Genomic DNA, 27047 nt, shown 5'->3' on the forward strand with positions numbered 1-27047 from the left:
TTCTGCTTGTGAAAAACTGGGGCAAGATATGAAAAATGTCACATGACACTAAGTGTAATACAATTATTAAATGCACAGAAAAACTGCTTTAGATGTCTTTTTTTAATTTGCTAGTATGTATAAGAAATATCTGGATTGTGTGGCATCCAGCTCTAGGAAGGAGGGGTTTGTTTTACAGCACAAATGTTCCAGACAACATGAATACATTTGTTCCTCAGCATTTTAGAGGAAAAATACTAAAAACACGTAGGATTTTCCTAGATTATTCTCCCCAAAACCAAAAAGTTAAGTTTTTTGATAACTAATGACTCCTAAAAGTAAAAAATTCAAAGAACAAAAAACAAAGCATACTCATTCTTCATGGGAAATCAGCAATTTAAAAAAAAAAAAAAAAAAAAAAACTTAGAGAAATTCCCCTGGGTCACACAGATTGCAGCCTATATATTTTTTTTGAGATGGAGTCTTGCTCTGTTGCCCAGGCTGGAGTGCAGTGGCCCGATCTCAGTTCAGTGTAACCTCCGCCTCCAGGGTTCAAGCAATTCTCCTGCCTCAGACTCCCGAGTAGCTGAGATTACAGGTGCGCGCCAGCACACCCCACTAATTTTTGTATTTTTAGTAGAGACAGGGTTTCACCATGTTGGCCAGGCTGGTCTTGAACCCCTGACCTCAAGCAATTCACTGGCCTTGGCCTCCCAAAGTGCTGGGATTATAGGTGTGAGCCACCTTGCCCAGCTGCAGCCTAAACTTTCATACAGACTACATCGCAAGGAGGCCCAGATGGCAGAAATTAACCTAAAGTGCAGAGTGATTTTATACATATACTGATAAAATTAGCCCAACTAATATAAAAGCCTTACATTTACAACCAATTTTCAAAACAAGACTCTCATTAACTAATTACGCTTTTTCTTCATTAAAATGTTATTGTGTAATATAAAATTCAAGTATTTCAAGTATGTGAAAGTATAAAACTTATTTGATTTAAAAAAAAAAAAAAAATCCAAGCCTCTGAATCTTTATTCTGCAGTGGAGCACTTCTGTTGACTGCCAAAAGGTCCTTGTGGACTGTGGGAAGACAGGGAAGGTTTCCAACAGCTAGACACAATACTGCTAAGGACCTTTAAAAAGGGATTAGTTATTCTAAACAATAAAAAGGTGGGTGGATAATCTACAACTCCGTGCCTTTAGGCTGCAAGAATTCTGGGAACATAATTTTCTTTGTTTAAAAAAAGCACAAATTATACAAAAAGCTTCTACTTTGGGAAGACAAGGATATTACAGAGATGCACCTATTAAAATAAGACTTGTGGGCAGGTGCAGTGGCTCGTGTCTGTAATCCCAGCACTTTGGGAAGACGAGGTAGGCAGATTAGTTGAGGCCAGGAGTTCGAGACCAGCCTGGACAACATGGTGAAACCCCATCTCTACTAAAAATACAAAAATTAGCCAGGTGTGGTGGTGCATGCCTATAATCCCAACTACTGGGGTGGCTGAGGCAGGAGAATCGCTTGAACTTGGGAGGTGGAGGTTACAGTGAGCTGAGATCGGGCCACTGCACTCCAGCCTGGGCGAGATGTGAACACTAAAACAAATAAGGACTAAAATAAAACACAAATACATGTTAAGAACCCATAAATTCATTTTTTAAAAAAGTCATTCATCAACTTCAGAGGTTTTAAGGATACCAGCAGTTAAGATTCGTATTAAAAGGGAGAAAAAGCAAGTATTTTTCTTGTGAATTTATTTCATATTGTTAAGTAAAACAAAAAGAAGCCACAATGTAGAAATGTAGAATGTGAAACAAGTAAAGTATAAAACAATCAAAACAGGATATAAAAGAATCAAAATAATAGGTACATACATAAAAAATACATGGATATAAAGGTAGAGAGAGGGCAATGTACAGAGAAGACATGGAAAGGATGGCCAATTCACAAAGTTACGTCTGAGATAAGCGGTTAGGGGGTGGTGGTGGACACAATGACATTTTCATAGTTAGCTAGTATAGTATTACATTGTTTGAATCTTTAGTAATCAGAATATGTCCATTTCACTTGTGTAATAATGGAGGAGGAAAAAGCCATACAATATGAAAAGAAATGTAAATGGCTATACATACTTGAAGAAATAATATATGAATCATTACTGAGACGGAATAAATGCTGAGGTTATACATACTTTTTAAATAGATTCAAAGAATTGTATTGCAAAATTACAAATGTAAGGCAGTTTGACTCTTGGATAGACTACTATACAAAGAAACTAATTTCTACTTTCTATCTGTAAAGAAGTGTTCAGAACATAAGAAAATGTTTGTCATATAGAAATAATAGAAAATTCCTTAAGCAAGTGAGGAAGTCATTTCATTCATGTAATTAATGTTTGTTATAGGTTCTAGAAGCTAATTTTGCAACACTGTCACAATGAAAGGTCACAATATATTGGGAAGGATAGAAATGAAGTTTGAATTAGGACAAAATTTTGTAACAGATCATGTTATATTGAGTCCATAGAAAATGAAAGCAGTTTTATATTAATAAAAGCTAGTATTTAAATGTATGTAAGACTTACACAGTTCCATGGGTGTTGGCTGAGCTACATATCTTTGTTTTGTGCATGTTTCTGTATTATGTTATGATTTACAACAAAATTAAGTGTGTATTAAGTATGTGAAAGGAACCGTTTTAAAATAAACGAAGGAAAGTTGCTTTTCAACAAATATCCAAAAATAACTACTAATCCAATCTCTTTCAAGGGCTAAAATCACATCCTAAGAAAGAAATCCACAATGCAAAATATGGATTTTTAAAAAGCATAATGAGGCCAAGGCGGGTGGATCACAAGGTCAGGAGTTCGAGACCATCCTGGCTAACACAGTGAAAACCTGTCTCTACTAAAAATACAAAAAATTAGCCAGGTGTGGTGGCGGGCGCCTGTAGTCCCAGCTACTGGGAAGGCTGAGGCAAGAGAATGGCGTGAACCCGGGAGGCGGAGCTTGCAGTGAGCACCACTCACTCCAGCCTGGGCAACACAGCAAGACCCAATTCATATCTTATGTTCCATTTCAAAGCAACTGAGTCCATGTAACAATATTTAAATAGTGGCCCAAGTCTGAAGGCAAAATGCAGAAGGGGATAGCTTGCTTTTTCTTCAGAAAGGAAAGGATTAGGGCTATCATAACCAGATTATCCATTTATAACACGGCAGAAGGTAGGAAGTATACAAATGTGGTTAAAAAGAATATATACTTCTCTATAGGATTCCACTGGCTTCCAGCCTCCTAAGAAGCTAACCACACTCTGCCAACCTCCTCAAACTATTGACTCAAATACAACGCAAGAAGGAATTGGAGACAGGTGTCCAATAGGACACATAGAGGAAATTAAGGACAAGAAAATAGTATTAAACTCAGAGACCATATATCCCTAATGGAAATTTTAAGATGAAGCTAAATGTTGTATATTTTTTTGTTTCTTTAAAAAAAAAAAAAAAAAAAGGCCAGGCACAGTGGCTCATGCCTGTAATCCCAGCACTGTGGAAGGCTGCGGCAGGAAGACTGCTTGAGCTCAGGAGTTCAAGACCATCCTGGGCAACATAGTGGGACCCCGTCTCCACAAAAAGTTAAAAAGAAAAAAAAAATTATTAGCAAGGTGTGGTGGCACATGCCTGTACTCCCAACTACTTGAGAGGCTGAGGTGGGAGGATTTCTTGAGCCCAGGAGGTTGAGGCTGCAGTGAGCTCTGATCGCACCACTGTACTCTAGCCTGGGTGACCCTGTCTCAAAAACAAAGCAAAACTAATAGTAAAAGTTCTTCTGAATAGGAAGAGTAAGTTTGTGTGGCTGGCCACCTCTCACCTGGCCTTAGACTACCACATACTTACAGTTGTTCTTACCCGCTGCAGTGTTAAGACTTGGTGATGGGGCTGACCCTTTCAGCAGAGCACTACCTTTACATCTGCAGTGCCTACCACAATGTCTAGCACACAGTAAGGGCTTCATAGTTTTTTTTTTTTTTTTCTGAATCCAAGTTTATATAGTCTTCCATGAGGACTACTTGAAATAATAAGACATATTTAGACATATAGTCAGTGCTTCTTTTGAACTTGGCACATTAGAATTTCATCATGAAATTGTTTTTAAAAGGAAGAAAAAGTAGGTAGAGTGGAATGTTAGTGCTCAAACACAGATTATAATTTGCAATTTGAGGACCAACTGCCTAAAATACAGGTTTTTAATTCTATACATTCAATACCAAACTCAGCATTGTGTGCAAGAATTTGATCATCGTTCAAGCCAAAGTCTTAAGAATTACACTGTGAAGTATGTATTTCAATACAACCAAAAACTGGAATGTAAAATTTTAAGCAAGTTTAATTTTATTTACATCATCGAGATGTAAAATAAAGCTTTCAATGGTAATAAATACAAGTTTGAAAAGACAAATAAATCCCCTTATTCGTTTGGTGAAGGGAAATTTGCCAAGAGAAAAGAAGAACAATAAATCTAGATAAACATCCATGAAACAAATAGGGAAAGGTCACTGGCTGTTCTAAGTGTTATTCCTCTCTACCGAAATATCCTAAAAGAAACTGTAAAGCTCCAAATGTGTACACTAGTATAAAAGTACTAGAGCATTGTTTGAAAAGAGAGATCGAAAGTTTCAGAAATGTCAAATACAAATACTAAGATTTCAGCCTCAAAAAACAGTTAAGGATGTGAATGAAGATTAAGGCACAAAAATGAATAACGTAGTGTTGTTTTAGAAATGGAAAATGGAAATCTATTCACAAACCCAGTAATAGGAGATGATAGGCTGAATAAATTTTAGTATATCTATGTAGTATATAAGTTATTTGTAGGTGATTAAATATAGAAAAATGTTTGTAATATATAGCTGACTCAAAAATATATAATGACATTTAAAAAGCTGTTTAACAATGAGTTTGTATATAGATATGCAAGATAAGCATCTTTTTGCAAAAAGAAAAAAATCTCTACTTACATGAATGTGTTGGTGGTTACCTATTTATAAAAGTCACCAATAAATTTACCTGAAGGTTTAAATAAAAAGAACAGAAAGACCGTTCTTACCTCAAAAAGTCCTATTAAATTCTGTGGTTCTGATGAAGGTTTTCGTACTTTCTCATTATTGCAGTAAGAATGTCAGAAATTATGAAGACATACAGTGTCTAGTGCTACGATATAACATTCTGTGATAAAATTCAATCTAGCCTCTACCTGAGCCTCTGTTGAATGAAAACTGCCTTCTGACAATCCCTGGAGCTCCCTCAAAACCAAATACTCCTTTCCTGCCACTGCCTTCAACAGAATAAATGAAAGCGTGAAGAATAGTTAAATCACTTACTATACAGTTTTAGCAGATTGTAGTACATCTGGTCTCTATCACATTCAAATAGCTTCTGTGTCAGCTCCACTAATTTTTCCAGAGTTTCAACCTTAAAAGTAAGATTAAGAGATAGATCTACCTTGTGTAAAGGATGTATTTTACAGTTAACAAATAGCAGTGGAATAATCTTTCAAATTAGCTTTACCAAAAGGGCAGTTGAACTTCATTTCAAAAGTTAATGGGCTGAGCACAACAATATGAATGAACTTAATGCCACTGAACTGTATACTTATACAAGGTTAAATCATAAATCTTACATTATACTTATTTTACCACAATTTTAAAAAAATTTGGAGTCAAGAACACAACATGAATAACTAATTCAAAGGTATCTGGGTGGGAGAACTCAATGAGTGTATCGTACGTTAACAAAAATACTTCCCCCTCCAAACTTTACACTCTTCTTGCCCTGTGGCTTTTACTTGGCATGGTGCAAACAGGTACCTGCACCAGAGGAGGGCAAGCAGAAATTCCAGAGCTCTGGGAAGCAACTCCTTCTTCCACTAAGGACTAATGCAGGCTTGAAGTGCCAAGGACATTAGGTCAGCCTGCTCCAACCAACTAGTTAAAGATAATATCATCAGGGCCCAGGTTAACAGTTTAGGGTTTCTACTGCACCTCAGGAATAAGAAATAAGCCATTGCTTATCTGGCAAATGATCGAGATAAACACTGCTTCCACAATGCCCTGTCTCTCGAAGTCCCCAAATCTTCATGTGATACAGAGGACCCTTGCCTTCTACTCACACTTTTAGGTGATTGAGACATCTGAATCAAATACAAACCTGATTATTTGCAACACATCTGTCACAAAACCACTGAAGCCTTGCAGATCGAGCTCTAATCCCTGGAGTCTGTAAAATAAAATAATCACATAGCACCCAAGGTAAGGCTTCGGCTGAATATTATTTTTTTCCTCAAAGACAGTTTCTTTTCTTATGAATTTGCTGCCAAATATATATACTAAACTTATATACTAAACTATATATACTAGTATACAATCTATATACTAAATTTATACTATAACTAATACAAACTATAATTAACCCCATAGTTATCAAAGACCTTTAAGTAAGAGTAGAAGAGAGCATAAAACACAAACTATGCTTAACCTCTGCCTAGAAGACGCCGATAATTTCCAAATGCTGCACTGCACGTCAAAGTTCATTCCATAAATCTTTAATTAATAAAATGGTTATACTGTCTTTAGTTCAAAAATAAGCGATAAACTAGAAAACGTCAAATAAAAAGTGTGTGTCAACATTCACATGCATGTGCTCTTATTTTTAATTTATTTTTTTTTAGACAGAGTCTCAATGGCATGATCTTGGCTCACTGCAACCTCCGCCTCATGGGTTCAAGTAATTCTCCTGCCTCAGCCTCCCAAGTAGTTAGGATTACAGGTGTGTGCCACCACACCTGGCTAATTTTTGTATTTTTAGTAGAGACGGGTTGCACCATGTTGGCCAGGCTGGTCTCGAACTCCTAGCCTCAAGTGATCTGCCCACCTCAGCGTCCCAAAGTGCTGGGATTACAGGCATGGGCCACCACACCTGACTGCACGTGCTCTTTCTCATTTACACGCTCTCTCTTGAACACACACACATACACTTTATTCCAATAGACTCAGGAGACAAAAATTATCAATGTTACACAAAGTAACAGTTGTCACAATAATAAACCATTGGCTTTCGTTTTTAAAAGAAAATGCTTTGCGAACTTCACAGTGATAAAAGTACTCTAATGACTTTTGCCTAGCACCTAAAACTAAATGTTTAAAGAACAAAACAAGCTAAGTACTTTAAAATTGGTTTATAGTCTCAGTTCAATTAAACAACTGAGACATATGTTATATCCTCAATTAGAAATTACTATCGTTTGGTCAATAAGTCTGGCTTCAAAGCACTTAGTTTACAATTTTGGATACTGGAATAAAAGACAAACCATTTCAACATAATTCCAAGGATTTGTCACTCTATAGTATTTTCATCATCTGCAAGAGGGCTTCACCATTAAATACTACATTTCAATCACAGCATTATGGTAAGAAAACTACATACTCATTAGCCCTGGCTGCTCCAGTCTAGAGGAGGTATCTTTACTGCTTTCTCCGCTCACTTCTGTTGATCAAACCAGGTATCCCTTGAATCTAATCTCTTAAGTCCTCATTATTTTTAATTTTAAAAAATAACATTGTACAACGTTAAATTAAGAACTGAAGTGGAAACTAACATCTTGCAGCTTTGGTGGGATGACAGAAAAATTGGTAGACTAGAAGTTGGATAGCTTGTTCTCATTTCCTATATCATCCACTTTTTGGGATACAAGAAATCAATGATGAATAAATTAGTCATTGAAATACAGTCTCAAATACTATTAATATCTACACTCAGGCACAATTTCTTCTCAAGGATTTTTCTTACGTTATTTGTTTTGTTTCACACGCATAATACTGAAAATGAAACCAATGTCAATATATACTAAAAGCCCTTGAAAAACTATGAAATAATCCTCTTCAGAACACGGCAAAATGCAAGGGCTACGGTCACTTACAACTTTCAATATTACTGCTGATCCAAATGCCAACAATCTAAACAGCACAACTTTTATGACATACTCTTTCTGTTTGTGGCTGATTAATCTGCCTGTCTTTGGCAGGACAGCTGATTTATATGGCAGATCTTCCCATGTTTCATTTTGAAATTGAGAACTGTTTTCATATATAAATCTCAATCATCAAAAGAACATCTAGGTCAGATTAACTAAATCTCCTAGGCTGCTGTAATGTCAAGATTTCTGGCTTATCTCTTAACATCTTATTGAATTTTAAAAACTGCAAGTTGAAAGCAGAAATAGAAAATGTAATAAAAACATGGAGAAGAATAGAATTCTAATTGGGATGTTAAATATAACATGAAAAAACAGTTAATGTTAATTAAACTCATATTTAGTTCTTTCTGTGTTGCCACATACAATCTATCTAATGAACAGTGAGGATACAGTAAGTATTTTTATAGAAACAATTGCATGTTTGTTTCCACCTGAGCTACTGTGCTTCAAACCACAACTTTCTGCAGTTGCAATTCACTACTAGGTTTACTTGTATAGGGGAAAAAAAAGTAATCCAAAGTCAAAAATAACTGTCATTACTTTAATTTCATTACAACACTCTGATGTAAATTTACCATAAAAAGCTTATCATAAGCTTCTATGTATACTAGTAAAAATAGATATCCAATAATTATTACCTGTTAGGTAAAAAGAAATGAAAGTTTTTCTACTGCATTTCAAACTCTGTCTCAAGGAAGATTATCCTGAATTTAACTCAAATAGAAATTTTCACCTGTTCTGATTTTTCTTGCCACTTCTGCTGGAGATGTCAAATGAAAGCAACAACAAAAACCGCCCGCCCTAGCCTCATGTCCCCTAGTTAACATAGTAGGAGGAAAAATCATGTGCACAAGGGCTTTAAAGAAGGGACAGACAAAGACAAGAATGCTGGAGAAGGTGGTATGCACCTGTAGTCCCAGCTACTCGGGAGACTGAAATAGGAGAACTGCTTGAGGCCAGGAGTTCAAGGCTGCGGTGTGTTATGATTGCACCTGTGAACAGCCAATGCACTCCAGTCTGGGCAACACAGTGTGACCCCATCTCTTAAAAAAAAAAGAAAACAACATCCCCACCCCAACCCAAGTACCGTCCAAGTACAACTGACCCTTGAACAATACAGGGGTTAGAGTTTGACCATCTGTGCAGTCAAAAATCCACATATAACTTTTAATTTCCCAAAGACTGAACTACTAATAGCCTACTGTTGACTGGAAGTCTTAGCAATAGCAAATAGTCGATTAACACATATTCTGTATGTTACATGTATTTAATACTATATCATTATAATAAAGTAAGCTACAACAAGAAAATGTTAAGGAAATTGTAAGAAAGAGAAAATACATTTACAGTACTGCATTTTTTGATACCGTAAGTTTATGACATCTTTTTACAAGATGAATTTCTATCTGAAATGGCAGGCAACCAGAACTGCAGACCTCAATCTACAGTACATAACAAGCAATTCATCCTTTTCTTGAAATGTCACAACTTTACTTCTTAGAAGCACTTCCAGCATCACTAGTGATACTGTGTATGGATGTCATGGTGTTATTCAAAATAATTACAGTAATACAATAAGTACTGTAGGGAATTTTATGTACTTCGTTACTTCGTATGACTAGTACTTCGTTACTTCTGTTTACATTTCTCTCAGCTGTGAATGGCAGCATGTATAGTCTATGTGTGTGTAAGTTTTGATAAATGTTAACTTTTAATAATAGATTTGTATACGTTTTATGGTAGCAAATAAGATAGACTAGAATCTGCCTATATTTTAAGCATTCATGACATACCTTTTTCTTAATTTTTTTCAGTATTTCTAGGCTATGCAGTTCATCTGTGAGTTTTTTCAAATCTCCAAAAACTTTTCCAGTATATTTACTGAAGAAAAACCTACATGTAAGTGGACCTACACAATCCAAACCTATGTTGTTCAAGGATCAACTATATTTATCCCCATAGCTAGCACAGAACAAGGGAGCAAAAAAGGTCTCATGGTACTATTAAGTCTTTTAGCATTTGTCCTTTTCTCTAAAATTTTCCAAGATAGACTTGAAGACCATGTATAATAAGGAGGAAAATATGGCTGAGCAAGTCCAATTAACAAACTATCATGAACTAAAAAATTATCCACTTGACCAGGTGTTATAGGAGATACTAAACTAACTCACAAAAGGGGGTATATATTTACATGAGAACTGACATATCCTGAAATTTTGGAGGACAAAACAAAAACAAACAAACAAACAAACAAACAAACAAACAAACCCTAGCTCTAAAATCCACTGTCTGTGTATACGATCCACGCTGGCTTATTAAGGAAGGCAAATGGGATAAAAATTCCTGAATCAGATCTGGAAAAGAACAAAAGGAAGAGTAACAAAGACTGGGAGATCACTGGAATCCAAGCTTTTGGTCTTAAATCAAAAGCCATCAAAAGAGAGTTTTTCCCCCACTGAGAAGAGATCAAAATGTACTCCGGCTGCACCGTGATGGAAAGGCAAAACAGCAGATAGGGAGAGAGGGAAAAGTCAAGAAAGAGGAATTCCGGAGAAAGGGTAAGTTATTTTCGACAGTTCAGATATTGAGGGGTCATGAGATCATGGACGTAGGATGGTACAGAGGAACCAATAGAAAACAGAAACTCAGGGCCTGGTTTCAAATTCCGTAACTACTATACGTTGAGTATCCCTTATCCAAAACGCTTGGGACCAGAAGCGTTCCAGATTTCAGATTTTTCTGACTTTTGGAATATCTGTATTATTTACTGGTTGAACATCCCAAATTCGAAAATCCAAAATCTTGTAAGCATTATTTTTAATGGCCACATCATTCCATTTCATAAACAAACTGGAGTTCATTTGCGCCCTTTCTCCTTTGAGAAAAACTTTCACTGTTACAGGTAATAATCATAATTTACATCTTTACCTACTTTGGTTTTCAGATGATTTACTTAGGATCATTTCTCAAAAGTGGGTCAAATGTCATTACCATTTTGAAAGCCCCTGATACACAAAGACAGTAATGTTGTTATGTCTTTAAGGATGGGACCTCCTTTATGGTTCCTGGTAGCAGAGCCAGAACTAAAACTCAGGGTTCGTGAGTTCTAGTCCAATACTCCTATTGCTAGAAATTATGGTAAAAGAAGGTATTTCTCTGTAAACAAACAAACAGAAAAATGACTTCCTTCTTTTAGTCTATGACCTTTTCAGGTACTTCATTTACCTCCCAGGAAGACAGTGTTGCAGACCATACAAATAAAGTATCACTTTTTGGGTTACTCATTCTTTTTTTTCCAAGACCAGACATTAAATCCAGGGAAAGATTATATATACAAGCAAAAAAGTTAAATGATGTATGAAATGTTACCATATTAAAGGTTTCTATCAAGAAATATATTATTTAATTTAACTCTTAGCCCTTTGAGTAGTTCTGCAATCACTTACTAAATGCCTGTCATGTGCCAGGCACTGCTAGGTTCTCAGAACCAACACAAAGATGAGAAAAAAGTTCTGCTTTAAACTTAGCATTTCGTATTCTAACCTCTTCCCTTGGGTTTGATTCCCAAGAGTTCTTAAGACAGCCTACAGAGGATGTATCTGCAGAAGAGACAGAAGGGTTGACCTCTACACAGTAAAGAATGGCATAGAGAAGGAAGGGAATCAAACTAGCATTTATTAAATGTCTGATAATGTACCAGACAATCCAGATGTCATTTTATTAGTGTTATCTAATAAGAGTTCTGAGAGGCAGAAGAACGATAAAGGGAGGAACCTCTTTGCTGCCTCAGGGCCCTCACACAGGCAGTTCCTTCTGCCTGGAATGCTTTTGTCTCTACTCTAAGTGCAGACGCACAATTCATCTTTTAATTCTCACCCTAAACACTGCTACACTCAAAATTAAGGTAATGGTGGTGGATTTTTATGACACTTTACTCAGTCATCTCAAATGCTATGTAAATGACGGAGAGAGACCTGAGTTAACAGAAAATAGGGTGAATTAACATAGGTACAAGATAAATGAAGCTCTTAGATCTGATAGAGAATCTCCTGTCATGAACCCTTAAAGGTGGCATTGGCAGATTTCTTCATCTGAAACCTCCAGAATGAAGCTCTTTAGCAAAGGTGATTGATAGCATTTGCATGGCTTCCCAGTTGGACCAGTTTCCCCTTCCCTCCTTCCTTTCCTTCTCAGTCTTTCTCCCTTCCCTTCATTCTAGTCAAAGAGATAGACCTTTAAAAAGAGAATCTACAGAATGTAGTAATTGCTATAAGATGAAGTGTTGTAGAAAGGACTTTTTTCAGACTAGGTCTTTCTGAGGATTGCTTGTGCCCAGGAGATCAAGGCTGCAGTAAGCTAAGCCACCACTGTACTACAGCCTGGCTAACAAAGCAAGACCCTGTCTCAAAAAAAAAAAAAAAAAAAAAAAAAAAAAAGACTGGAGACTGTCAAATATACTACATATAACACATGATACATGTATGCCAATTCATCTTAAAAACAAACAAACAAAAAAACAGGTGATATTTACACATTGAACCTTGCCTATATCTTTCTTCATTTAATGAGCTTATGACTGGTTTATCTAATTATTTCCACAACGCTTCAAATACACAGCAGCTCTGTAAATTCAACCATAGTGAATCTACCCAATGATAAGACACTATTGCTTTTTTTGGGAATGATAAAAATGTTGCTCATGACTTGTAGTATTCTTTCTGTAAAGCTATTCTTCACCCTTTAAAAAATTTTGTACACACCTACTACGAAAATTCTGTCATCAGCAGACAGCCATTCCTAAATGTGGTTGTACTGTGGCAAAGCTCTAAGTAATTAAGAGGCAGTCTTCTCTTGCCTATTCATGTGGCAAACATGTACCTTATGCTGAACATCATATTTTGAATTATGTGAGGTAAAGAAGACAACACAATCCCTACCTTTAAGGGGCAAAGGGAATTAATATTATTGATCACTTACCATAATCCAGGAAACATGCAAGCTGCTTTACATACATTATGTGATTGAATCTTAAAGACAGATATTATGTTCTCTTTTATACATGAGGAAGCTTAGAAAGGTTTAATAACTTGTCCATTATCACATAAGCAGGTAGATGGCAAAACAAGAAATCACTCTTCTGCCTCTGGCTCTATTACACCTTACTACACAAAGACAGGCACATGCATTCCTCCTGCAGAACCTCTCAGAGCTGAGCTTCATTTCCGCTCTGATCAGTGACCTGCTAATACTGACACTGTACCTACAGAGGAGCAGAACTCAATAGCCAGACAGCTCTTCTCACATTTGGATTCACTGTACTTTCAGAAGCGAATGTGGAAGAAAAATTATACCATTTTCTAGAAAATGTAAATGAACCACTTAAGCTACAGAAGCACCTGTCCAAGATAGCACGATAGCATGCCCCACTGTCTGCTGACAAGTGGGCAGATTGAGTCATAAAATGGAAAGAGAAGAAAGTTCTGAATTGATTTCACAGTCCTCCTTTTCTATACTACACCGTTCTCTTCTTCAAAAAACATCAGGAGGAAAAAAATACAGTTTTCTGGGTTGTGTGCCTATATTTTCAGTTTCATGATAAGCAGTCATCAATACACAAATAAAGAGGTCAAACACCACTTTTGCATCCTGTCCCCTGTATATTTTTGGAAAACGACATTGACCAAAAGCGAAGTATAATCTGAGAAAACCCATGATTACTGATGTATTTATAAGTTAACAGTTTTAATCACATGAAATAATTTTTCTTAAGGCAATGGGTCCATCTTCTGCGGAATGTTTTGTTTTCTTAGTGGACACAGAATTGTTTAATAGTGAAATTAATCACAATTTGGACAGACTTTATAGTTGGCCCTTGACTTATCAATTCCACTAAGCAAAATTTAGTAAAGCCTAGATAAAATATACTAATCCTAAATAGGCCAGGTTTGTCACCTACCATTTCCCATAAGCTGCTTAGCATAGTGGAAAAAAAAAGAAGAAGAAAATTTAAATTAAATGCCAAACAGTTGCAGACAGCACTTGTTTGGCTGATTAACTTGTAGACAAGCATTACAAATAAATCTTGAGCATGGTCTGCAGCAAATTAAATTCCACTGCTTTTAAGAACAAAGAATTCTTTGGCAAAGAGGATTAGCAACTTTACACCCAGGAATGCCAGTTTAATTTAATTGTTCCACAATCCAAGATTTAATATGCAAATATCATTTTGATATATAATAGTGAATTTAACAAAGTGAGGAAACAAATTTAATATACAACCAGACTGCCTTTTCTGAACTGTAATTATATACAATAAAGAAGCTGGCCGAGATCCCCCTCCCCCAACATTACTGGGATTGAATTCTATTAACATGAATCAGAACAAGTGTAATTAAAGGTTAAAATTTTTAAATGTATTCTAATTAAGAGTCTAAATAGCTCTACAATTAGAACACTGTAGTTAAAATCACACCTCAATGATCTTCTTGGCCTCTTTGTAATTTCCTGTTTGTAGGAAGGCAAAGAAGAGATCATAGAGCATCACCATTTCACCTTGTTCTTGGCTCACAAAGTCCATTGCTAGGTAGGAGAGAAAAAAATATATATATTAGGAGAAAAAAAAACCCAGAAAAACAGTATCATATGAAGTTCCAGACAAATACAAGAAAAATTTATTTTAAAAACAAATATTAAGAATAACTTAAAGAATATAGCTATATCGACTAATTAAGTACCTAACAGAGTAGCTACAAAGAGAACTAGTGAGGATAAGGGTAAAAAAAATCTTCATAAAGGCAGATCACCAAGAATTAGAACACAAAAATAACAGACATTTTTTCAAAATGAACAGTTACTAAAATCAAGAACATGTATAATATTGGAAATCTACCTGATATTTTTCTTTTAGATTTCACAAGTATAAAGAAAGTTTATCTGAATGTGCTGGCCTTCTGCTGGTTTCTCTTAACAATACACTAAGATTAAATCAGCAAGAAGGGAAAAAAAAACTACATTAAGATACTAGAAAGTGACTCACCTTTCTGAATTAGATCAGTCTCGCCTTTCTCTACCAGTTTACACAAGACATCATGAATCCTTGGTAATACTTTATACTTTTCATAGCAGTCAATGGCGACCTCAAGAGCAGTAGATAGGTCGCCCCTTAGAAACAAAAAAATTAGCAATGAATAAAATAAATCGAATTCAGCTTAGTCTCTTAGTAATACTTTAGAGAGATGTTTAATGACCAGTTAATATGTAAACAACTGAGCTTTACTTAAGGTAGAAAACCACAAAGCTAAAATGGGGGAAAAAAAGAAACAATCTTTATATATAAGTAAATGTTCAGAAAACATACATCATCAGCAATCCACTATTTACCCTGCTTCATCTTTTATTATTTCGTGTGTTAAAGGGTACTTTATAAAAAAGTCCAAATAGATTAAGGCATTCTCTGATTTTACTGTAAATTCTGACTTTATGTAGAAAGTTGCTGTAAGAATGTATTACTTCTGAAAGCAAGGACTACCGTCAAATACTTTTTTCCAATCACTTACGTGCCTTTAACAATTGTATCTCAATAATTTCAGATTTGGTAAACGTTATTAAATGTCCACCAATAGCTAATAAGGAATTTTCAAGAACTTTTTCATCTTTATCATAATATTTTCTGTACTGTCACCTTACTAGCCAAGTAGGAAATAACCTCAAGTTTCATATATATGGGAACTTACTATTATGAAAACTAGGATATTCGTGTTGGTCAGTGAATTCTAGAAGAATTCTAAATACTTTTTTCATTAAAGGGTAAGCTTTTAAAAATTATTTCCAATTACAAAGTCAAGCCTTCTTTTATGTGAGAAATTAAAATAAAAAGACACTGTCATTAAATCAGTTTCTTAAACAACAGTGTGGTACTATATTCTTGTGGGTCCTTAAGAAGTATTTTCCCCCCATAAAAGGACAATTTGCTTTCAATTTACTTTAACCCTGTCTTTATTAAAAGTTTTTTTGTAATTTCTCTCTTACCATACTGAAATAAAATTCACAGGTAATATAAAAAAAATAAAATAAAAGGACAATGTTAGTATGAGAAATATTTAAGACCTTGCAAGACCAGGTGCGGTGGCTCATGCCTGTAATCCCAGCACTTTGGGAGGCCAAGGAGGGCGGATCACCTGAGGTGGAGAAACCCCATCTCTATTAAAAATATAAAATTAGCCGGGCGTGATGGCGCATGCCTGTAATCCCAGCTACTCGGGGGGCTGAGGAGGGAGAATCCCTTGAACCCGGGAGGTGGAGGTTGCAGTGAGCTGAGATCGTGCCATTGCACTCCAGCCTGGGCAACAAAAGTGAAACTCTGTTTCAAAAAAAAAAAAGAAATCCCTTGGAAGAACTATAGAGATTATATGATCCAATTCTACTTGCCACCCCCTTTTACTTTCAAAGAAATAATGAAACTGGGGCATCTAGAGACTGGCTGATTTGACTAAGGCTACCAGGTAAACAGAGGAAGGTACTAGGTAAGCAAGTCGCTGGACTTCCCATTGTCAGTTCAGTACATCTAATTACACATTATGCTTTATTAAAAGCACTGGTATTTGAATAATGTAATAAAGTGGTGCAATTTGGAATAAGAAATTAACGATTTATGAAAAGAGAGTATGAAAGGTATTTTAAAAAGAGGCATGGTTAGAGACATGGCTCCAAGTACAACTAGTGACAATTAGTGAAAATCTTTGTAGAGAATATAAATTTCTCATACACATAACAGTTTTCAAAACCAGAAAGTCCTTTTATACTTCCTGTTAAAGCCTTCACATTTTTGCCTATTATACAAATGTTACATTGCCCTAAGTTGAATTACTATTTTATCAAGATCTGATTTTAAGCTGTACTAAAAAAGTAAAAGACAACGAAGAAATGTTAGTTTTATTGCAATAATAGTGACACAGTGAAAACGAGCCTATCCTGATGGAACTCTTACCTTATCCCCTTACTAAGCCCTGTTTACAGTGCATCTTCTGGCACCCCACAGAGTCATTTGAATTTTTGTCATTTGGGGTGAAGACTAAATTACAGGTTAATTTCAAACTGCAAGTAGATGTTGCAGGCTGGATTACTGTCATAGAAGAGAAATGGTACAGTAGCTACCACATATGATATAAAGCTTTATATAATCAGTATTTTCCCTTACTTCAGACACAGGTTCGGTTATTGCCTTTCTATAACTCTGCTTAACGAAAAACTACTAAAACATTTTTTAAGAGCAAAGCTAACACACATACGATTTTTTTTTAAGTGGCATGATTTGCTTTTCCAGATCAATTCCCAAACTAGAATAGTATTGTCTCAATTGTATTTCCCCCTACATTAGGTCAAAGCTATCAATAAATGAATGAATAATTGTTCTGTCAATCAAAGCGACACGTTAATAGTCTTTGGTCTCCAAATATATGCTTCTGAAGATTATACATGTTCAGAACAACAACAGAAAAAACAAGAATGGCAAAATGGAAATAATTCATATATTTGTCAGTAATTTTAAGAACCAATGTTACTGCTCTTAGGATGCCAACAAAATGAATTAGAAATTTATAATGAAATACCTCATACAAAGTGTACTGGAGATAAAAACAAAGTAAATGACTAGTCAGTTCTTCAGTCCCTATTATCTAATTCGGACTTGTGGTTGGATCATGTCATTTTAAAAGACAAAAATTTACATTCCCCACATAATTTATGTCACTATTAATCTTTCATAATAAAGCTTGAAAACTTAGGTGATGACGGAAATGAAAAATATGTTTAAAAGCACCTAAAATTTGCATTGCTATGAAGATAGCTATGTAGTCATAGGACTTTGGATTTCCATCCCAACTGATAAGAGTACTTATGCTACTCAGCTGTAGCAACGTGATACATTTCTAGAAGTGGTGATGAAAAGCAAATTATCACAACAGCTGAACTCAAGGACATTTGGGTTCCCTCCTAGTTCTAACAGGTTCTATGACTCTGTGCTTATTAGGTTCATCTAAAGTGTTTTGCACAAGCAGAGAAAATCATCAGGTGAAAATACCACTTTTATTAGGCAGGATGAAATCAGTAAGGGAAGCACAATATCAAAAGGAGAAAGGTAAAAATTGCTTTACAACCAAAATGTGGGACAACACATTACCAATCAGTCTACTTCTAGCTTCTGTGACCCAAAGTGATCTGTGAATTTCTTTGAGCACTAGAAATGATTTAAATCCTGCTAAGAAATAACAATAATCCTCTGAAGAAATTAATGTTGACACATTAATTTTGCATTCAAAACTTTGAGCCCATGCTTGTATCAGCATATATGCATAATTCCTAAAGCTTCACATACAAATATTTAAAGGCTCACTCCTAATAAAAATTTAGTCAATGCTTTCACAAATGACACTAAAAGAAAATCAACTCTGTAGCATACTATTACCCTTTATAAAAAAAAAAATCAAGACACCCCCCTCAAAATTTCAATAGACTACATAATTTTCATGCATAAAACTACGTACACTAATAAAAAGTAAGCAATCATTTTAAAAAGCAGTATTTTGTTTGGTGCAAATTAAAAATATAAGCTTTACCAAAATTCTGTAAGTCTATGAAATAAAGGTAAAATTGAGGAAAAGATTCTGTAATTTTAAATTTTAAGAACATATATATGAGATAGGCTGGGTCCAGCAAGAAATTTGGAAACTTAAAATAGAGTTAAATTCATTAACTTGAATAGACTCACTTGGCCTGCATCAAAATTCATTCTAGAATCTAGAATTCACTTCTTAAGGGAACATGACTACAAAGAGCTACTACAAACTACAATTTTTTCATTATTACACGGAAGAACATCCCGATAAATAAGCTTGAAGCTCCGATGGCAAATCTGATAGTACCACTCATTTGAGTCCTCATTCTGAAACTGAAGTATGCTATAACGTCACTGACAGAAAAACAAACACCATGTAGCATGTAAGTTTGCTGGACAGACATTTCTATGGGACATCCACCAATCATAAAACTATCTACTTTGAGATACCAAGAAACATGTACTCCTAAAACTCATATACATTCCTCAATACATATACCTGTAAAAATCATAAATGTATTTCATACAATCTGGAATTGTTAAAACAACCACGAGTGACAACTATCTATTTATCTATTAGTAGCTTTAAACTTAAGTCTCGTAATTTATACTAAGTAACTTTCTAATCCCAGAGAGTATACTTAAACAACAAAAGAAAGATGGCCGGGCGCGGTGGCTCACGCCTGTAATCCCAGCACTTTGGGAGGCTGAGGTGGGTGGATCACGCGGTCAGGAGATCGAGACCATCCTGGCTAACATGGTGAAACCCCGTCTCCACTAAAAATACAAAAAAAAAAAAAAAAATAGCTGGCGTGGCGGTGAGCACCTGTAGTCCCAGCTACTCGGGAGGCTGAGGCAGGAGAATGGCATCAACCCAGGAGGCGGAGCTTGCAGTGAGCCAAGATCGTGCCACTGCACTCCAGCCTGGGAGACAGCAAGACTCCGTCTCAAAAAAATAAAAATAAAAATAAAAATAAAAACAACAACAACAACAAAAAACGAAAGATGACAAATATTGATTTTTTTTATTTGGAATAAAGTACTTTAAACTTATACATTGTTAGTGAAGTGGCAATTTATGTAACAGGCTTCCTTACTGAAATGCGCTCAAATCTGCAATCACTACAGAAAAGAAGGGCTGTGGGGGGAGAAAAAAGTTTAAAAAAGAAAAAACAAACAAACAAAAACCAAACTGAACTCCTTAAAAACAAACTATCTTACAAATCCTCAGCAGATGTTCAATATGGGAAGAAACCAATTCAAGAGAAACCATCATCTTCACAAAAATTATTCTGTTAAGAGAACCAGCACTTGAAAGAGCTAAATGTTTTTTTTCTGTTCATCATCTATAAATGAGGAATCTTCAAGGAGACTGGTGTTGCAATTACAACTAATCCTCCCCAAAAAATTAACTGTGTTGAAGGCTTTGTAATTTCCCTAGGTACAATTTAGCTGTCACTTACTTTAAAATTTACTCAAACATGCGTTCGGAACAGCACTAACTTCACATGTCAAGTGCTTTCCAGCCAATTGAGTCTAAACTGGAAGTCGGTGTTAAACAACTGAATGATTAGACAAGATAGCTCATTTCCCTGCTCTTTTGTTCAGAATAAAATGCCACATTTACATTATCAGGCTCAACAGGATTTTCTGACAGAGGCAGAAAAAACCCTACTGCACACTGTCCGTACTAAGCACATGAAGCCTGTCATTTACCAATCATCCTTCAAAAAGCAATAGCCATGAATGTAACTTAATTACGACCCAATGATCCTTGACGAAAAATCATCTTATCACTGTCCTGTCCCCCTAGGGCAAATGAACCACTTTTTGTCCTTTGGCACTGATGATGCTAAATTCTTAATTGCAATAATGGAGTAAAAGAGCCAAACCTCCTTAATTTCCTTTCAGCACATAAGGAGTTTTACTCTAGAAGGCAAGCATTCCCATAAATAATGAAAGTATCCAGTACAAATGAAGATGCTAAAATTGAAGGGGAGCATGTGTAACAGAATCATCAACATTTTAAAAAGCCTATTTCCCATTTATGTAACATATTAAAGTGTTACAGTGAGTTCCAAAAACATTGTTACAAGTTCATCTTAGAGAAATTGTGACCTTTATGAACTCAAGATTAATTCAGCAAGAATTCTGGGAGGATAGTATATATGAAGTTCATGACACACTTAAATGAAATGCATATGTACATATACAGATTATAACACAAACCAGCACAAAAAAAATCCTTAATGGAAAGCAGAAATTAAAGCTGCTTTGATCACTTGCACCAACATAATCCAGTTAAACAGCTTCAGTTATTTTTTAATGCATGCAATGAAACCAAAATGGATCAGGTATAAAACAAGTGAACCTGAAACTGCATCATACAAATTTTTATGCTTTAATATCTGATGGCCCAGACTTTATTAATTTCATTTCCTTGACCATAACATGAAGACTAATAAAAAACTCTTTTAACCTATTTTAAAGCATTTCTTTCTTCCTTAATGTGACGGATTGCTGTCATCTCCATGAATCAGGCATGATTTTAATAAGATAAAATACTTACAAAAGAAAATGTTTGAAATAATACTCATTTGGACTACATGTAAAATACGTGGCTTAGAGACTGTAATGTAATGTAAATGAAACATAAAAATTTTGTTCAACTGCAAATTTTTTTCCATTCAATGCAAGTATTTTCATTTTGATAATACAAAAGCAGGTTAGCTTACCAACTTCTTTATAATTTTCTAAATCTGTTATTGTTTTGGATTTCCCTTGGCAAATGAATAAAAACAGTGTATTTTTTCTATACCCATAAAGCTTTTTTACATTGTCTAAATAACACAAACTGACACAGTATTAATTTCTCCTGTGTTTTGTCCAATGCTGGAAAAGTCGGTTCAGAATTAAGATCCACTGAAACTTAAAGAGATTATCTTTCTAAGGAACTCAGTCTCATGGAACTGCTTCAGAATTACAACACGAAAGTGATATTCTCTTTAGAGCCTTTTACAGTGACATGCCAAAAAGATGCCTGCCTTTGAATGAAAGGGTGAAGATTTATGATGATGTTTCAAAATGTTTTTTATACTTTTATCACAAGTTTGAATAAATAAAGCTCATTTGCCAGATGAGCTCATACCTGCTGAGGTCAATTACATGATATTACTGAAGATTATACACATTTAATCAAATCGAATACACGTGGACTTTTTGGCAGGCTAGTGTGGTTAATCCTAGCACTTGTCATGATTCTGAATTAATTAGCTATCTTCCATCAGTTGGAGAAAACACAATTGAGAAAGAGTTTCAAAGTCAGGGTTTTACTCCAGGCATTTCCCCTGACTACGAATGTTTCTGCTGTTTTCTGTAATTTCATAAATATAAAATTTCCTTTATCTTTTTATTAGTCTCATGACTCTGAAAGAGTCAATAGCCCTTTTTATTATGATAGATGAAACTGAAAGACCTCATCATGGAGACTGCATTAGCAAAGTAGTCTAAAAAAAAAAAAAAAAAAAAACTAGGCAAATAAAAACAGAATTAAAATAAAATAAAAATAGAAGATATACATATCTGAAAGTAGTAAAACACCAATAATGAAAAGACACTAATTTAGATTTCCTTAGCTCAATTAGCAGGGAGAGCCAAATTTGACTGAGACACAGAAATATCTGACTTCAGGATATAATCAGAAGCACAGAGGATGCTCTAGGTTAACATTTGAATTCCACACCGTTTCCATTTTCCCATGGGTAAGCTCTCCTTGGTTCATGAGCCCCATCTGCAGACCTCTTTCGGAAAGCTTTCAGGTCTCCTCTGTCTTCAAAGTATTTCTATTTGTAAGATACTTTTCTACGATGGCCTCATTTTCATTGTTAATTATTTTATTTTTGCCCGGTAGTGTAGGAGGGCCTAATTTTTCTGGGCACTGGGCCCATTTCTTTCAAATCCTTCTGTAGAGTTGCACATGCAATTTGCAGAAATGGGTCTTTTAAGCAATTGAAAAAAATTCTAATAGGAAGCATATTAATTATAGGATTTCTATATAAAGTTGGCTATGAATATGATAACTCAATAACACAGTCATTATTTGAATCACTATTTCTTTAAAAGGATGTAATGCTGAGACTGTAGAGGTTAAGATTTGACCAGTCATCTAACCCGGTAATTGTTTTTGATTGGATGGCAAAGGAATTATTTCATGTGTGCATGCATGTATTCACACATTTTTTTAAGTTAGTTAAAAGAGATGGTTTTTATTATACATTTAAAATTCAACACTAAATCATTTATTATATTCAATTAATTAAACTCTCTAATAAATAAAGAAAAACTACCAGAAATTTGGGGAAAACATGAGAACCGTTAAAATACATATTTTATTTTTCTCCTGGCATCAACAGGACAACATCCACACTACATCCACAGTGAGATATTTCTGCGTTTCAGTCAAATTCAGCTCTCCCTGTTAATTGAACTAAAGAAATCTAAATTAGTATCTTTTCATTTTCGGTGTTTTACTACTTTCAGATACGTATATCTTCCATTTTATTTTATTTTAATTATTATCTTCTATTTTTGTTTGCCTAGGGTTGTTTAAACTAATTTGCCAGTGCAGTCTCCATGTAATGCAGATTACAAACTATGTTAAGCTATGAAAAAGCTGACAAAGAAGATCTAGGAAATTTAAAAAGCAAAACAGAAAACAAAAACAAGTACAAAAGAAAAAGATGATAAATTACGCTTAGTCATCTTACTAAAATGTTTTATTCATTATAAAATAGACTGACTTTATGATTTACATTGCAAATAATGCCTTAAATTGAGCACCAACAAGAGCATTTCAAATGGAAAAATTAACAAACTCAGTAAATCTTGCCCTATCAGTAAAATTCATCTCCTACAACATTTATCAAAGCTAGAATAACTGTAATGGTATATGTATTTAAAATACCCTGTGAAGAAAAGGAGCACTGAAGATGCTTCAACACTTATTACCTGAATAACTGTCAAGACACATACTCAAAAGCCCCAGAAGATCCTTTTTTCTTATATTTATTAATAACACTTATCAGGCTCAAAACTAGGAAAAACTAGATTCAAATTCAAGTGATCACATGCTCCTACAAAAAAAGCACCAGGGACTATTCCATTGATATGTAAAGCCACAGGACCACAGGGCTGCTAGTGATTTTAAAGGTCACCTAGTTCATATTAGCCCTCTTACTCTGTGGTAAATGACCTCCAAGGCTTCCCCATCATGAGGGTATTTATAAAGTATAATCCGAAAATTATTAGACTCATTCTTTTAATGCCAACATTTAAAATTCAAAATTCAATTAACTTACTTTTCCAAGTGTACAGTGACCAATGGGAAACTTATGTTGGTGGATGGTTCTGCTAACCCTAGAGTCACGATGGCTTCATGCAACTGTTTTACTGTTTCAATTTCACCTCTTAAAGCTGCGCCATTTAGCATGTGGAAAAAGGACAAGGCTGTTGTATCTTTGATAAGAACATCCTTCTCTTTCATCTCCTTCAGAATGTTAATAGCATCTACAATGAAGTAACACAAAAGACCCTTAGGTAATTTCATGTAGGGAAAACAAACTGCTATTAAAACAGCATTTCAAGCCCAGCAGGAATGTAAATTCTAGTGTATAATGCCGATTTCAAGTTAATTACTACTTGCATTTCTAAACGAGACTACAATTATAAATCCACAATAGCATGGTTTTATCATTTCCCTGCAACTTTGACTACAAATTATAGATAGGGACTATGTGCCCACTCTGTACCACATAACCCTGTATGGTCTGCCCTATAGCTGTAAGATCCTCCTAAATGGATGCTTTTATCGTTCAGAGCTAACATCTGCTAAATCACACCATTGTTTCTTCAGCAGATGGCTTGTCAGGAGGCCAGATAATAAAGATGTGTTTACACTGTATATACAGCCAGACTAATGGTCTGATACCGATAGGGCCTGTTTGCTATGTCGATACTAATTAGCCAAGCAGAGCCAATGAAAGCTTTCCAAAAGACTGCATGTTAATACATTAGATTCATTAAGCTTCATTAGGAAGGCAGAAACAAACATTTTAGGATATGGAATAAGTGCATTTTTATAATGTTGTTCTTAATTATTACACAGACAAAATGTTTTGACCACTTTACAAAAAGTGATTTTAAAAAAATAGGCTAATCCTTAGAAAGAGTTAGAAAGGCGTCCTAGGAAAACATTCAATGTTCTAATAAATGATTTTCTCCATACATTTTTCCCTATAATAAAATTAAAACAATCTTTTCTGAAAATCAAAGGAAAAGAGGAAGGCTAAAAAGGAAATTTCAAAATAAAGCCAAATCAGAAAGTTAAGAAACAAGAAAATAGTATGAATGTATTATCAAGTGTAATTAATTTTATTAGGCTTAGCATTATCTCAACGAGAAAATTTGAGTATGCAAATCAGCTGTGTAATCAGCTATGCTTTTTCCATGAACCATTAAATAAAAACCTTAATTAAAATAAAAACTTTAAAGTATATATTTTGTTAATGTTATTAAAAAGTAAGGCAAAGACTACTGCAAAATTCAGGCGCATATATTAGGTTATGTTTATAGGTTTTACGTTTATAGGTTTTACGTTCAGCCTTCAGACCTTCTTAAGCAAAAACAAAGCCATTAGTGCAGGCACATAAGCAAATTGTGCCATAAGTCATGATCTTCAAACTCAATCCAAACAGCAATGCTAATAAAAACTAGCTGCAGAAATGCAAAAAGCACTGAGCTGTGCAAATGTAAATGACAAGCTTGCCAATCCATTAAAACTAATGGCCTACACTGTCCATGTAGCTCTGGTTGGATTCACATGCAAATTTCTATGCAAAGTGTTCAAGCACTTTGCAGGACATGATATCCATTAATATCAATTCACATGTTATTCCAGTGGCAAGATACTTGCATCACATATTTCCTTTATGTGCTGAGGCTTACCTTGGAGCTTGCCATGCTTTGCCAATACTCTTACAAGGCCTACATACTTGCCGGTGTCAAGGACAGCAGATGAATCTAAGCGGTCACTAAAAATTAAAGCCACATTTATATTGTTTTAAAAGTCAATTAACTGCTAAAAGAACAGCAACATCCATTTAATCACTTTTCAAAAGCTCATCAGAAGACCTGAACTAATGTTGGCCTCTACGCTTCAGTTAGGATTTCTTTTTGAAGCCATATACAAGTTCACACGAAATTATATTCAAAGTGACTAGTGAAGTAAAAGCCCAACACTACATATATATTGCATCACTCCATCTGCAAAGGATACTTATGAAGAAACTCTTTGGCTTTAAGTGATTCTAACCTTCATCACGAATACTTGACATTTTTACTTGAAAAATCTAACAGGATAGGAAGCCAAAGGTACCTGAGAAATGGATAGAATTTTATTTACACTACAATATTGAAAGGGAAATGTTATCAAGCCTCTTAAAACAGTTACCACCATCACCACTGTTGTGATGATATATAATCAATGGAAAAAAACCTTTGGTTCTAAGGACTAGAATGTCTTATCATACTTAAACAAAGACACCTTGCTGAACATAAGCCACAATTAATTAAAGAGCCGTATAATACGAAATTTCAAAAACACTGACAACAAAAGAATTTTTAAAAATGACATTATATAAGAGAGTAATATTCCATCTAGATAATCTATCAAGGTCTGTAGAGCAGAATAAATGTTGACAACTTGTTTCAGTGCCAGGGTACTCACAATTCTTCTTTCAAGTTCAAGGCATCTTCTACTTTATCATGTCGACAGCATAAATTTATTAAAGCTGCATAGCCACCAGTAACCATGTCGGATTCATATTTTGCTTTCAATTCAAGGGCTTTTTGCATATTCTAAAATACAGCATAGATGTGAAAAAGAAGAAATCAGTGTGAAGGTAAAAATGTCACATTTTTAGCTTTACTGTTCAGAGTTTAGAAAAAGTTAATAGTACTTTAAAAATAAATGGTTTCATGTTAACAACCTGACTCTGCCCCTTGATATTTTTATTCACCTCTAAGAAGTGGGCAAGTCTTACACGTGTAGGGGTTAAAAGATGTGTTATCTGTAATATAAAATAGGCCATTATTTATGCCAAATTTGATGTTTTAGGCTTTGTGTATGGTATTATTTAAAAAAGACTTCCAGATTAAGTAATTCCCAAATCAAATCCTAATCACAGTCTAATTTCAGGATGCAGAAATATGTATCATTGAAAAGTTTCTCAGTCTAGTTTAGTATCCAAGTAATATGAAGAAATATTTTAGAATTTAACAGTAGCAGATTATAATCATAAAGTTAGTCATGATATTTTTTCCCTAAAACTACAAGTTTATGGCTCAATTATATTGAACTAGA

The 27047-nt window shown here is 34.8% G+C and overlaps 1 protein-coding gene across 5 annotated transcripts in view, besides 2 other annotated features; it reads right to left on the reverse strand.

Annotated features, from left to right (window-relative positions):
- The window catches only part of LRPPRC (leucine rich pentatricopeptide repeat containing), a 110042-nt gene that overhangs the window by 33478 nt on the left and 49517 nt on the right, over positions 1-27047 (reverse strand). For all 5 annotated transcript variants that reach the window (XR_007068563.1, XM_047442809.1, NM_133259.4 and 2 more), the window contains exons 21-27: positions 26412-26542; positions 25631-25716; positions 23986-24193; positions 15053-15177; positions 14489-14595; positions 6192-6260; positions 5366-5456 (exon numbers count right to left, since the gene is read on the reverse strand). Coding sequence is in view for 4 of the 5 variants with exons in the window: in XM_047442809.1 (XP_047298765.1) it covers positions 5366-5456; positions 6192-6260; positions 14489-14595; positions 15053-15177; positions 23986-24193; positions 25631-25716; positions 26412-26542 (817 nt within the window). In the remaining variant the exon portion in view is untranslated. The remainder of the gene's footprint in view (positions 1-5365; positions 5457-6191; positions 6261-14488; positions 14596-15052; positions 15178-23985; positions 24194-25630; positions 25717-26411; positions 26543-27047) is intronic.
- Positions 1484-1585: a silencer, noted in NCBI's record as "fragment chr2:44148324-44148425 (GRCh37/hg19 assembly coordinates)". NCBI's record gives its function as "represses an EF-1alpha promoter that drives an FKBP-Casp9 reporter gene in an ReSE screen in phorbol 12-myristate 13-acetate-treated (for megakaryocytic differentiation) K562 erythroleukemia cells {active_cell/tissue: K562(+PMA)}" and the evidence as "EXISTENCE:reporter gene assay evidence [ECO:0000049][PMID:32094911]".
- Positions 25229-25794: an enhancer, noted in NCBI's record as "NANOG hESC enhancer chr2:44172069-44172634 (GRCh37/hg19 assembly coordinates)". NCBI's record gives its function as "activates a minimal SCP1, AML or CMV promoter by ChIP-STARR-seq in naive H9 embryonic stem cells {active_cell/tissue: H9 hESC(naive)}" and the evidence as "EXISTENCE:reporter gene assay evidence [ECO:0000049][PMID:30033119]".

Source organism: Homo sapiens, chromosome 2 (genome assembly GCF_000001405.40).
Source record: "Homo sapiens chromosome 2, GRCh38.p14 Primary Assembly".
NCBI lineage: Eukaryota > Metazoa > Chordata > Mammalia > Primates > Hominidae > Homo > Homo sapiens.